This window comes from Homo sapiens, chromosome 19 (assembly GCF_000001405.40).
Source record: "Homo sapiens chromosome 19, GRCh38.p14 Primary Assembly".
In the NCBI taxonomy this organism is placed as follows: Eukaryota; Metazoa; Chordata; class Mammalia; order Primates; family Hominidae; genus Homo; species Homo sapiens.
The window spans coordinates 15,838,558-15,851,337 of record NC_000019.10 but is presented as its reverse complement, the minus strand read 5'-3'; positions in this window follow the sequence as shown (position 1 = coordinate 15,851,337).

The following is a 12,780-nucleotide window of genomic DNA, read 5'->3' as shown; positions in this document are numbered from 1 at the left end:
GCTTCCCAGTCATAAGTAGATTTAAAAATTTTCTGATTGGCAGGCCAGGTGCGGTGGCTCATGCCTGTAATCCCTGCACTTTGGGAGGCTGAGTTGGGTGGATCACCTGAGGTCAGGAGTTTGAAACCAGCCTGGCAAACCTGGTGAAACCCCATCTCTACTAAAAATACAAAAAAATTAACTGGGCGTGGTGGTGGGCACCTGTAATCCCAGCTACTCAGAGGCTGAGGCAGAAGAATCACTTGAACCTGGGAAGCAGAGGTTGCAGTGGGCCAAGATTGTAACGTTGCATTCTAGCCTGGGCGACAGAGGAAGACTGTGTCTCAAAAAAAAAAAAAATTTTTTTGGATTGGCAATTCGTTGAAAGAGTTATTACCAATAGAAAGGAATGTCTGGATTATGATACAGGGTTGTGGAGACCAAGGTTTTATTATGTAGATGAAGTCTCCAGGTAGCAGGCCTCAGAGAGAATAGATGGTAAATGTTTCTTATCAGACTTAAGGTCTGCATTGACGTTTATGCTGGTCTGCTTTTCCTGAATACCAAAAGGGAGGAGGCTGTAATGAGGCATGTCTGGCCCCTTCTACTTCTACCTTCTCTTCCCATCATGGCCTGAACTAGGTTCAGGTTTTTCAGGTTAACTTTGGAATACCCTTGGCCGAGAAAGGAGGAGTCCATTCAGATGGTTGGGAGGCCTTAGAATTTTAGTTTTGGTTTATGGTTGCTAAAATTTCAAGGTCACTACTTGTTACTGCAGCATTCCAAACCTAGGTTGACCAATACAGGGGACCAACTTCTATTTCACTAAACACCCAGATCAGAGGCTTTCTTCTGATGCAATTAGCCTGAAGCTTTCAGGAAAAAGATAGCTGAGGCCCTCAGGTCCTGATATAGTTTGGCTGTCTGTCCCCACCCAAATCTCATCTCGAACTGTAATCCCCACTCGTGGAGGGAGGGACCTGGTGGGAGGTGATTGGATCATGGGGGTGGTTTCCCCCACGCTGTTCTCATGATAGTGAATGAGTTCTCATGAGATCTGATGGTTTAAAAGTGGCAGCTTTGGCCAGGTGCAGTGGCTCATGCCTGTAATCCCAGCACTTTGGGAGGCCAAAGCAGGTGAATTGCTTGAGGCCAGGAGTTTGAGACCAGCCTAGCCAACATGGTGAAACCCCGTCTCTACTAAAAATACAAAAATTAGCTTGGCATGGTGGCACGTGCCTGTAATTCCAGCTACTCAGGAGGCTGAGGCAGGAGGATCACTTGAACCCAGAGGTAGAGGTTGCAGTGAACTGAGATTGTGCCATTGCACTCCAGCCTGGGCAACAAACACCTTGTCTCAAAAAAAAAAAAAAAAAAAAAGAGTGAGTCCATCGAGAGAAACACGTCATAGTGCAGATGGTTCTTAGTGAAAATTATTAAGGCAGTAAAAGACCAAAGTCTGTGAGGCAATGGTGGATCAATGTGAGGAACTGGCTAAGGGATGTGATCCTCCCAGTCCTGTTGCTGCATCCAAGCCCAGTTCAAACCCATCAGAATACTTGCTCAATAAATATTTATTGAAAGAATAAAAAAGAATTAGGCATGATCGTTCCTTGAACCTGGCTCAAACTCACATATTTACAGGAATATCACTCACAGCCAAACAGTCATGGCATAACAAGGTCACGATCCGTAGGAACACTTCTTCCCCAACAAATATCATTTTGGATTAGGCCATGGTCAGTGGCTCATGCCTGTAATCCCAGGACTTTGAAAAGCCGAGGCGGGCAGGTCGCTTGAGCCCAGGAGTTCAAAACCAGCCTGGGAAACATGGTGAAACCCCATCTCTATAAATAAAATAAAATATAAAATAAAATACTAAAGTTATCCAGGCATGGTGGCACTCACCTGTACTCCCAGGTACTCAGGAGGCAGAGGCAGGAGGGTTGCTTGAGGCCAGGACTTTGAGGCTGCAGTGAGCCTTGATCGTACCATAACACTGCACCCCAGCCTGGGTGACGGAGTAGACCTTGTCTCAAAAAAAGGAAAAAAAAAAAAAAAGGAATTAGGTCAAATAGGAACCTGGTCTGGTTCTTGCTCTCACTGCCCTGAACCTTAGGACTGCAAGGGAACTGAACCTGGAACTGTGTGGGAATGAGATAGATGCCTGCATCCTTGCTGCAGAGAAAAGAAACATAATGTTTGATTTTTCTTCCAGGGTCATGGAGACAAGCTATCAGAAACTAAGAGTAGTTTCTTGCTCCTGGTTCAGAAACTTAGCTTCAGATCAGGGTTATGAGCTGAATGTGTGTATCCCCAAAAATTCATGTGTTGAAGCCCTAACCCCCCATGTGATAATACTTGGAGATGGGGCCTTTGGAATGTAATTAGGTTAAGATTAAGCCAAGAAAGTAGGGTCGCCCAGTGGGGTTAGTGTCCTTAAAAAAAGAGAAATCAAGACCAGATCGGGAGTGGCAGCTCACGCCTGTAATCTCAGCTCTTTGGGAGGCTGAGGCCAAGAGTTTGAGACCAGCCTGGCCAACATGGTAAAACCCCATCTCTACTAAAAATATAAAAAATTAGCCAGGCGTGATGGCAGGCGCCTGTAATCCCAGCTACTCGGGAGGCTGAAGCAGGAGAATCGCTTGAACCCAGGAGGCAGAGGCTGCAGTGAGCTGAGATCACGCCATTGCACTCCAGCCTGGGCAACAGGCTCTGTCTCAAAAATAAATAAATAAAATAAAATAAAATAAAAAGGCAACAATGGGGTCTGAGCTTCATGGGGATGCAGCCGCACTCTAGAAAGTCATTTAATTACAGTCCGCCCTGATTGTGACATAATATCCATTTATTTGTTTACTCTGATGCTAAATTTGACCCAATATTTACAATCACAGATCCATTTTCTTGAAATTATTATTTTATATGTCTGATGCAGTAACTCATATTTTAATACATTTTCTCCCCACGAGAACAAAAAAAACACCAGGAGGGCAGAGGATCTCATCTTGCTTGTTCTCTTGTTTGAGCTGCAGGCAGACAAGGTTTGGTTCCTACAGCCTGGAACACAAAAAGTGTTGAATAAATCCTTAATACAGGCATGAATAGATGAGTTTTAAAGGCGTGGGGGTGAGGTAAGTAAAGCCATGAGCTGGCTCCATCAGTTGTACCCAGATCCCTACAAGACTCTACTGGGTGACACAATCATACTGTCTAGCACGTATTGAGGATTTATGAAATGCCAATACGTTTACAGGCATCATGCTGTGGGGCAGGTGCTATTATTATTGGCCTCCCCATTTGCAGACACAGGTTCAGAGAGGTCAATTCACTTCACTAAGGTCACACAACCAGGAAATAGGTAGGCCAGGATTCGAGTCAAGTTTATCTGATGTGAGCCAGGGTCCTGAGGCATGAAGCCACTTAGACTATTATACAAGTCACCCTCTGCCTGTTAATCTGTGTTTAAGAACCCAAAGAGAAATCCACAATTCATACGTCCAGTGGATCTCTGCTGAAACAAAGAAAACAATGGCTGGGTGCAGTGGTTCATGCCTGTAATCCCAGCACTTTGGGAGGCCGAGGTGGGAGGATCACTTAAGTTGAGGAGTTCAAGACCAGCCTGGCCAACATGGCAAAATGCCATCTCTACTAAAAATACAAAAATTAGCTGGGTGTGGTAGCAAGTGCCCGTAATCGCAGCTACTCAGGAGGCTGAGGCCGAAGAATCACTTGAACCCTGGAGGCAGTGGTTGCAGTGAACCAAGATTGTGCCACTGCATTCCAACCTGGGTGACAGAGTGAGACTCCATCTCAAAAAAAAAAAAAAACAAAAAAACAGAAAACAAACAAACAAAAACAAACTCCCAGAGAATTCAGTTGAAGTGATGTCATGGGGTCCATATACCAAGCAATTAGTAGAATTCATCTGAACCCGCCACCTCCAGCCCTCCTCCAAAACTCCCCGTGCTCATCAGTCAAAGCCCCTGGACACCCTTCCTGGAGGACACATCAGAGATGCGCTTGGCTAGAGCCTTGAGTGGCATCAAACAGCCCAGTGGAACACCTGCCGGCACGATCTACCAAACTCTATTGTCATAACAATCCCTGGGAAGCCAATTCTAAGTTTCATCAGTGAACTAGCCATGGGATTTTTCAATGACCCTTGAGGGCTCATTAAAAGTTGACACACAATTCTTATCTACACTTCATTTGTGTAAATGAAGGAGTCCCTCAGGATCAACCACAGAGCTGCAGGCAGCCGAGGTTTGATCCATAGCTCGGGGCTAAGATGAAGACAGAAACACAGGCTCACTCCAGTCCGGAGGAATGGTCCCCAGGTAGTATCCCCCTTAGCCTCTAAACTTAGATGTTTAATTAGCAGCAAGAGACATAGGTAGGAATTAGAAGTGGTCCTTCAGCTGGGCGCAGTGGCTCATGCCTGTAATCCTAGCACATTGGGAGGCCGAGGCGGGTGGATCACCTGAAGTCAGGAGTTCAAGACCAGCCTGGCCAACATGGTGAAACCCCATCTCTACTAAAAATACAAAAATTAGTCGGGTGTGGTGGCAGGCGCCTGTAATCCCAGCTACTCAAGAGGCTGAGGTAGGAGAATCACTTGCACCTAGGAGGCGGAGGCTGCAGTGAGCCGAGATCATTCGCTGAACTCCAGCCTGGGCAAGACAGAGCAAGATTCTGTCAAAAAAAAAAAAAAAAAAAAAGTGGTCCTTTCTTCCCCCAAGACACAAGAGTCCCAGAGCTCCACACAGTTAAATGCTACAGAAAGCACCATGGCATCTTGGCCCTCAGAAGCAAAGCGTGGAAAACACTTGGTGCCAGCTGTGGCCCCCGTGAACTTCCCATGCTGCTGGAGTAGATGGAGGGGAAGGTTTCCAGAGCTCTGAGAGGGGCCGAGGCTTCTACTTCTACTGTAATGCTAACTGCATTATGTCATATAAGTTACTTAATAGACATATCCCTTGTTCCTTCCACTAGACTGGCCACCTGAGGAGGCAGGACCACTTTGGACTCGCTCATCATTGTGTCCCACCACCCAGCATCTAATAGGTGCTCAATAAATACTTGCTGAGAAAACAAGCAAATGACTCTCTCATTCCAATGCTATGGAGATTTGTGAGTTGCAAAATCCTTTTGAAATGTGAATGGCTATTCCTGAGTTTATTTGAAATTCATTTTCCAGGTGTGATTGACCTCATTTGAACCCACTGTTCCTTCTGTGTTTATCATGGACAGACAGTATCACCCGTGTAGATGAGTGTAATCTTGGGGCTGTTGGGACCCTTTGAAATCAGACCCCTGACTGTCTATTTTGGCTCCATGAGCCACTCCCCACTCCTTGCTGCCCAAGGCCCCTGTCATATTGTTTGTCTGTCTTTCTTTCTTCCTCTTCTCCTTCTTCTTTTTTTCTTTTTTGAGATGGAGTCTTGCTCTATTGCCTAGGTTGGATGATCTCAGATCACTGTAACCTCCGCCTCCTGGGTTCAAGAGATTCTCCTGCCTCAGCCTCCTGAGTAGCTGGGATTACAGGCATGCATCACCACACCGGGCTAATTGTCCTACTTTCAGTGGAGACGGAGTTACACCATGTTGGCCAGGCTGGTCTCGAACCCCTGGGCTCAAGTGTTCCACCCACCTCAGCCTCCCAAAGTGCTGGGATTACGGGTGTGAGCAACTGTGCCCGGCCCATATTGGCTTTCTTCTCCTTCTTCTTCTCATCCTCCTCCTTCTTCCTTCTCCCTCTTCTTCCTCTTCTTCTCCTTCTGCTTCTCCTTCTTCTTCTCCTTCTCCTTCTCTTTCTCCTTCTCTTTCTCCTTCTCCTTCTCCTTCTCCTTCCCCTTCCCCTTCCCCTTCCCCTTCCTCTCCTTCTCCTTCTCCTTCTCCTTCTTCTTCTCCTTCTTGAGATGGAGTCTCACTCTGTCGCCCAGGCTGGAGTGCAGTGGCACAATCTCAGCTCACTGCAACCTCTGCCCCCTGGGTTCAAGCAATTCTCCTGCCTCAGCCTCCTGAGTAGCTGGGATTACAGGTGTGCATTAACATGCCTGGCTAATTTTCCTATTTTTAATAGAGACAGAATTTCATCATGTTGGCCAGGCTGGTCTTGAACTCCTGACCTCAAGTGATCCACCCATCTCGGCCTCCCAAAGTGCTGGGATTACAGGCATGAGCCATCACACCCGGCCCATATTGTCTTTCTTCTTTTCCTTGGATGGGCAATCATCTTCCCACCTCGGGTCGTTGGAACATGCTCTTCCCTCTGCCTGGTGCACCCTTTCCTCTCCCTCTGCTCCTGGAGCAGAATGTCTTGGCTGAAATGCCATCTCCTCCCCGAAGTCCCAACCAGGTGTCCTGATTTCTGAGGATGAGGTTGTTCATCCCCCATAGCCACTGCCATCTCTTCCTCACACTCCTCATGCTCTTTTCTAAAACTCAGCCAATAATTCATCCTCCACCTTCTCCGTCCAGTGTAAAGTCCACAAGAGCAGGTATCATGTCTGCCCTGGCCACTGCAGTCATCCCAGCTCCTGGCTCAGTGATGAGCTCAGATGTTCTGGGAAGATCTGTTAAATGTGTGGTAGCTGGGGCGGAACTTCCTCTAAGCTGGAGATAAGTTATTTCATGCACAGTCTTTATGTACTGAGGATGGTCATTTTTATCATCTTAAGCAGCTACTGTGGTGGTTTTGATGTCTTCTTGTTATCAAGCAGCAGATCAAACATGAGGTTTCCTGCCTCTATTTACTGTCAAGCAGCCGTTTATCTCAGGAAGAGGAGACCTCTTTAGCAAGATGTTTTTCTTTAATTGAAAAAAAATTTTTTGTAAAGTTGGGGTCTTACCATGTTGCCCAGGCTGGTCTTGAACTCCTGAACTCAAGTGATCCTCCCATCTTGGCCTCCCAAAGTGCTGGGATTATGGGTGTGAACCACTGTGCCTGGAGCTTTTATAACTTGTTTTTTTTTTTTTTTTTTAATTTAGAGGCTGGGTGGGGTGGCTCACGCGTAATCCTGGCACTTTGGGAGGCTGAGGCAGGTGGATCACCTGAGGTCAGGAGTTCGAGACCAGCCTGGCCAACATGGTGAGACTCCGTTTCTACTAAAAATACAAAAAACTAGCCAGGCGTGGTTGTGTGCGCCTGTAACCCCAGCTACTCGAGAGGCTGAGGCAGGAAAATCACTTGAACTCGGTAGGTGGAGGTTGCAGTGAGCCGAGATCACGCCATTGCACTCCAGCCTTGGCAACAAGAGCGAAACTCTAGCTCAAAAAAAAAAAAAAAAAAAAAAAGACAAGCTCTCAGTCCATTCCCAGCCTGGAGTGCGGTGGCGCAATCACAGCTCACTGCAGCCTTGACTTTCCAGGCTCAAGTGATCTTCCTGCCTCAGCCTCCTAAGCAGCTGGGACCACAGGCAGATATTTCACCTTCCCTGTTAGCTGTATTCCTCAGTATTTTATTTTTTTGTGTGGCTATTGTGAATGAGATGGTGTTTTTGATTTGGCACTCAGCTTGGACATTGTTGGTTTATAGAAATCCTATTGAGTTTTTGCACATTGGTTTTTATTCTGAAACTTTACCAGTTGTTTATCAGATTGAGGAGCTTTTGGGCAGAGACTATGGAGTTTTCTAAGTATAAAATCGTATCATCTGCAAACAGAGATAGTTTGACTTCCTCTCTTCCTATTTGGATGTCTTTTATTTCTTTCTCTTGCCTGATTGCTCTGGCTAGGACTTTTAGTACTATGTCGAATAGGAGTGATAAGAGTGGGTATCCTTGTCTTATTCTGGTTCTCAAAGGGAATACTTCCAGCTTTTGCTCATTCAGTATGATGTTGGCTGTGGGTTGACCATAGACGGCTCTTATTATTTTCAGGTATGTTCCTTTAATGCCTTATTTGTTGAGGGTTTTAACATGATCTCTTCACTTTCTTGCCAACACTTGTTATCGTTCATCTTTTTGATGTTGATCAAAGCACACACAATTTCAGTTAGGCAGGAGGACCAAGAGATCTAGTGTACATGATGGTGACTATAGTTATAACAACCTATTGTATATTTGAAAATTATTGAGAGTAGATTTTAAGCATTCTCACCACCAAACGAAATGATAAATGTGTGAGGTAATGCATATATTAACTGGCTTGATGGAGCCATTCCACTATGTATACATATATCCAAATGTGTTGTGCAGCATAAATATATACAAATAAATAAATATATTTTTATTTCCAATAAAATACACTTATTTCATGTATCTGATCCCAAACACATGAAATCTGGCAGATACTCTTTTTTAAGTTGACATATTCGATAAATGGCACTGGGTTAACTGGCTAGCCACATGGATATTTTATTTATTTATTCATTCATTCATTTAGAAACAGAGTGTCGCTCTGTCACCCAGGCTGGAGTGTAGTGGCGTGATCTTGGCTCATTGCAACCTCAGCCTCCTGGATTCAAGTGATTCTCGTGCCTCAGCCTCCCAAGTAGCTAGGAGGCGTGCACCACCATGCCTGGCTAATTTTTGTATTTTTAGTAGAGATGGGGTTTCGCCATGTTGCCCAGGCTGATCTCGAACTCCTGGCCTCAAGTGATCTGCCTGCCTGGGCCTCCCAAAGTGCTGGGATTACAGGTGTGAACCACTGCCCTTGGCCCATGTGCATATTTTCTTTGTCAATTTAAAAATGAGCATCTGCCAGATTTCATGTGTTTGGGATCGGATAAATGTATTTGGGATCAGATTGAATAAATGAGGAAAATCGTATCATAGTCCCTGACTCAAGGGCAGGGTGCAGTGAAGGGAAGTAGATGGAGAAGATGTTTCTTGAGGGAGGGATGGGTCTCATCCACGCCTCTTTGCAGCTGTGAGCACAGGTTCTGGTGCAAAGGAAGGGCTGATGCTCGTGTGGGGAATGTATCTTCTGGAACTCATATTTTTTGATCATCCCTGGGTGAAGCCCAGTGGAGAGATTCAGAAATGCAAGGGTCCTGCCTGGGAGAAAAGCTGAGTGGAGCCACAAGGCTGAGGTTCAAAGGGACTTTTTGCTTATTTGCCACCCACTGCTGCGTACATAGCAGGCGCTCAACAAATATTTGTGGGACAAATGAAGGAATAATGTGCACAGTTCAAGAGAAAAATGAAATGGGGAAAGACGAAGGGGCGTTCACCCCAACCAAGCACCTACTCTGGGCCAGCATCCTCACACATAGTGTGTCTCTTACTGGAATAATCCAGGCCCACTTTACAAAATGGAAAATGAGGTCCAGAGAGGCCAAGCTGCTGGTCCAGGGTCACAGCGCCCCCACCAGGTAGGGCCGCAAGATGCAGCTGAACTGCCACCTTAGTGTCCCCACCCCAGCCCCTGTCTCACAACTCACCTCGTTTCCTGTGAACCCAGCCCCATGTCTCATTTCTCTGGGCACCCAGAAGCAGCAACAAAATACTTTTCTCTGGCCAGGCACGGTGTCTCACGCCTGTAATCCCAGCATTTTGGGAGGCCCAGGCGGGTGGATCACTTGAGGTCAGGAGTTCAATACCAGCCTGTCCAATATGGTGAAACCCCGTCTCTACTAAAAATACAAAAATCAGCTAGGCGTGGTGGCGGGCGCCTGTAATCCCAGCTACTCGGGAGGCTGAGGCATGAGAATCACTTGAACTTGGGAGGCGGAGGTTGCAGTGAGCCACGATAACATCACTGCACTCCAGCCTGGGTGACAGAGCGAGCCTATGTCTCAAAAACAAAAAAAAAAGAAAAAGAAAGAAAGAAAGAAAGAAAAATGATAGCAGCATCCAGAGGGTAAAAAACACATCAAGTAATAGAATGTATAAATTAGTTATACTTGTTTTGGCCGGGTGCGGTGGCTCATGCCTGTAATCCCAGCACTTTGGGAGGCTGAGGCAGTAAGATCCCTGAGGTCAGGAGTTTGAGATCAGACTGGCCAAAATGGCCAAACCCTATCGCTACTAAAAATACAGAAGTTAGCTAGGCGTGGTGGCGCGTGCCTGTAGTCTCAGCTACTGAGGAGGCTGAGGCAGGAGAATCGCTTGAACCCGGGAGGTGGAGGTTGCAGTGAACTGAGATGGTGCCACTGCACTCCAGCCTGGGCGACAGAGCAAGACTCCATCTCAAAAAAAAAAAAAAAAAAAAAGCTGCCAGCCAAAACCCACTAAAACCAAGATGGTGACCAAAGTGACCTCTGGTTGGCCTCACTGCTCATTATGCATTAATTATAATGCATTAGCATGCTAAAAGACACTCCCACCAGCACCATGACAGATTACAAATGCCATGGCAACGTCAGGAAGATACCCTATATGGTCTAAAAAGGGGAGGAACACTTATTCTGGGAATTGCCCACCCATTTCCCCAGAAAACTCATGAATAATCCACCCCTTGGTTAGCATATAATCAAGAAATAACTATAAAAATAGCCAACTAGCAGCTCTCGGGCTGCTCTGCCTATGGAGTAGCCACTGTTTCATCCTTTTGCTTTCTTTTTTTTTTTTTTTTGAGACAGAGTGTCGCTCTGTCTCTAGGCTGGAGTGCAGTGGCACGATCTTGGCTCACTGAAACCTCTACCTCCCGGGTTCAAGCGATCTCCAGCCTCAGCCTCCCGAGTAGCTGGGATTACAGGCGTGCACCACCATGCCCAGCTAATTTTTGTATTTTTAGTACAGATGGGGTTTCACCATGTTGGCCAGGCTGGTCTCGATCTCTTGACCTTGTGATCTGCCCGCCTCTGCCTCCCAAAGTGCTGGGATTTACAGGCGTGAGCCACTGGGCCCGGCCCATCCTTTTGCTTTCTTAATAAACTTGCTTTCACTTTATGGACTTGCTCTGAATTCTTTCTTGCACAAGGTCCAAGCACCCTCTCTTGGGGTTTGGATGGAGACACCTTTCCAGTAACAACAGTTTTTGAATTTGACAGTTTATTCAGGTCTGAATCTTAAAATGAGTCTGTCAGAGGCATGTGAACCAGAGCAACTCCTTCTTGAATAGGAGCTGGGTAAAATGAGGCTGAGACCTACTGGGCTGCATTCCCAGGTGGTTAAGGCATTCTAAGTCATTGGATGAGATAGGACGTTGGCACAAGATACAGGTCATAAAGAGCTTGCTGATAAAACAGGTTGCAGTAAAGAAGCTGGCCAAAACCCACCAAAACCAAGATGGTGACGAGAGTGGCCTCTGGTGGTCCCCACTGCTACACTCCCAACAGCCCCATGACAGTTTACAAATGCCATAGCAACGTCAGGAAGTTACCATATATGGTCTAAAAAGGGGAGGCATGAATAATCTACCGCTTGTTTAGCATATCATCAAGAAATAACCATAAAAATGGGCCACCAGCAGCCCTTGGGACTGCTCTGTCTATGGAGTAGCCATTCTTTTATTCCTTTATTTTATTTTTTTTTTTTGAGAGACAGAGTCTCACTCTGTCACCCAGACTGGAGTGCAGTGGCGCTATCTCGGCTCACTGCAACTTCATCCTCCTGGATTCAAGCGATTCTCCTGCCTCAGCTTCCCAAGTAGCTGGGATTGCAGGCGTGCACCCCTATGCCAAGCTAATTTTTGTATTTTTAGTAGAGACAGAGTTTCACTAGATGTTAGTCAGGCTGGTCTTGAACTCCTGACCTCAGGTGACCTGTCTGCCTCGGCCTCCCTAAGTGCTGGGATTACAGGCATGAGCCACCATGCCCAGCCCTTATTCCTCTACTTTTTAAATGAACTTGCTTTCAGCTTAGGGACTCACTCTGAATTTTTTCTTGTGTGAGATCCAAGAACCCTCTCTTGGGGTCTGGATCAGGACCCCTCTCCTGTAACAACTCCTTGTGAGAATTTTCTGTTGGCAAAAACCAAGGCATTGAAGGAGGGAAGCATTTCCACACTGTGAGAATGGGGCAAGAGAACATGGTAGGCTGACAGAGTTAAATCCTTAGGTTTCCCTGCCTCGTCACCCCTGGTCTGGTCCACCCTGGGTCTCCACTTCAGCAGAACATGGCTCTCAAGCTTGGGAATAAGTTTAACCCCTTGAAGGCGATTTTCTTTTTGAACTGTGGGTGTGGCACCCTGCTTATCTGAACAAGCTCATTTTTTGCCTTTTTGTGTTTTGATTCCTTTATGGAATATTGCTGTCATATAACTCTGTTTTTTTCATGCATTTAATAATTGTTCTTGCTGCTGTGTCTTTATCTTCTTGTATGAAAAGGAATAGATTGAATGATAAGGTATGAGAAACCCTTACTTTCGTTGCCAACAGCCTCACCCCAAAGGTCCTCCCTCCTGTTCCAGTCTTGCCTGGCCTGGCCTCCCCTCCTGCTCTGACGCCACGGGATCCTTGGCTCCACTGGGCCCCCAAAATCACTGAGCTAAAGGGAAAATTCAAGCTGGGAACTGCTCAGGACAAACCTGCCTTCCATTCTATTCGAAGTCATCCCTCCAGCTCACTGAGATAGACGCATATTCTGATTGCCTCCTTTGGAAAGGCATATTGGAAACTCAGGAGAAGGCAACCACTTGTCTCTCCGTGACCTGGAAGCCCTCTCCCTGCTTCGAATTGTCCCCATCTTTCTGGATAGAACCAAATACTCCTTATATATATTGACTGATGTCTCATGTCTCCCTAAAATGTATAAAACCAAACTGTTCCCTGACCACCTTGGGCACATGTCAGAACTTCCTGAGGCTGTGTCAGGGGTGCATGTCCTTAACTTTGGCAAATAAACCTCCTAAAATGATTGAGCCTTGTCTGGGCATTTTTCTTGATGGACAACACTGTGTGGAATTTCCCCT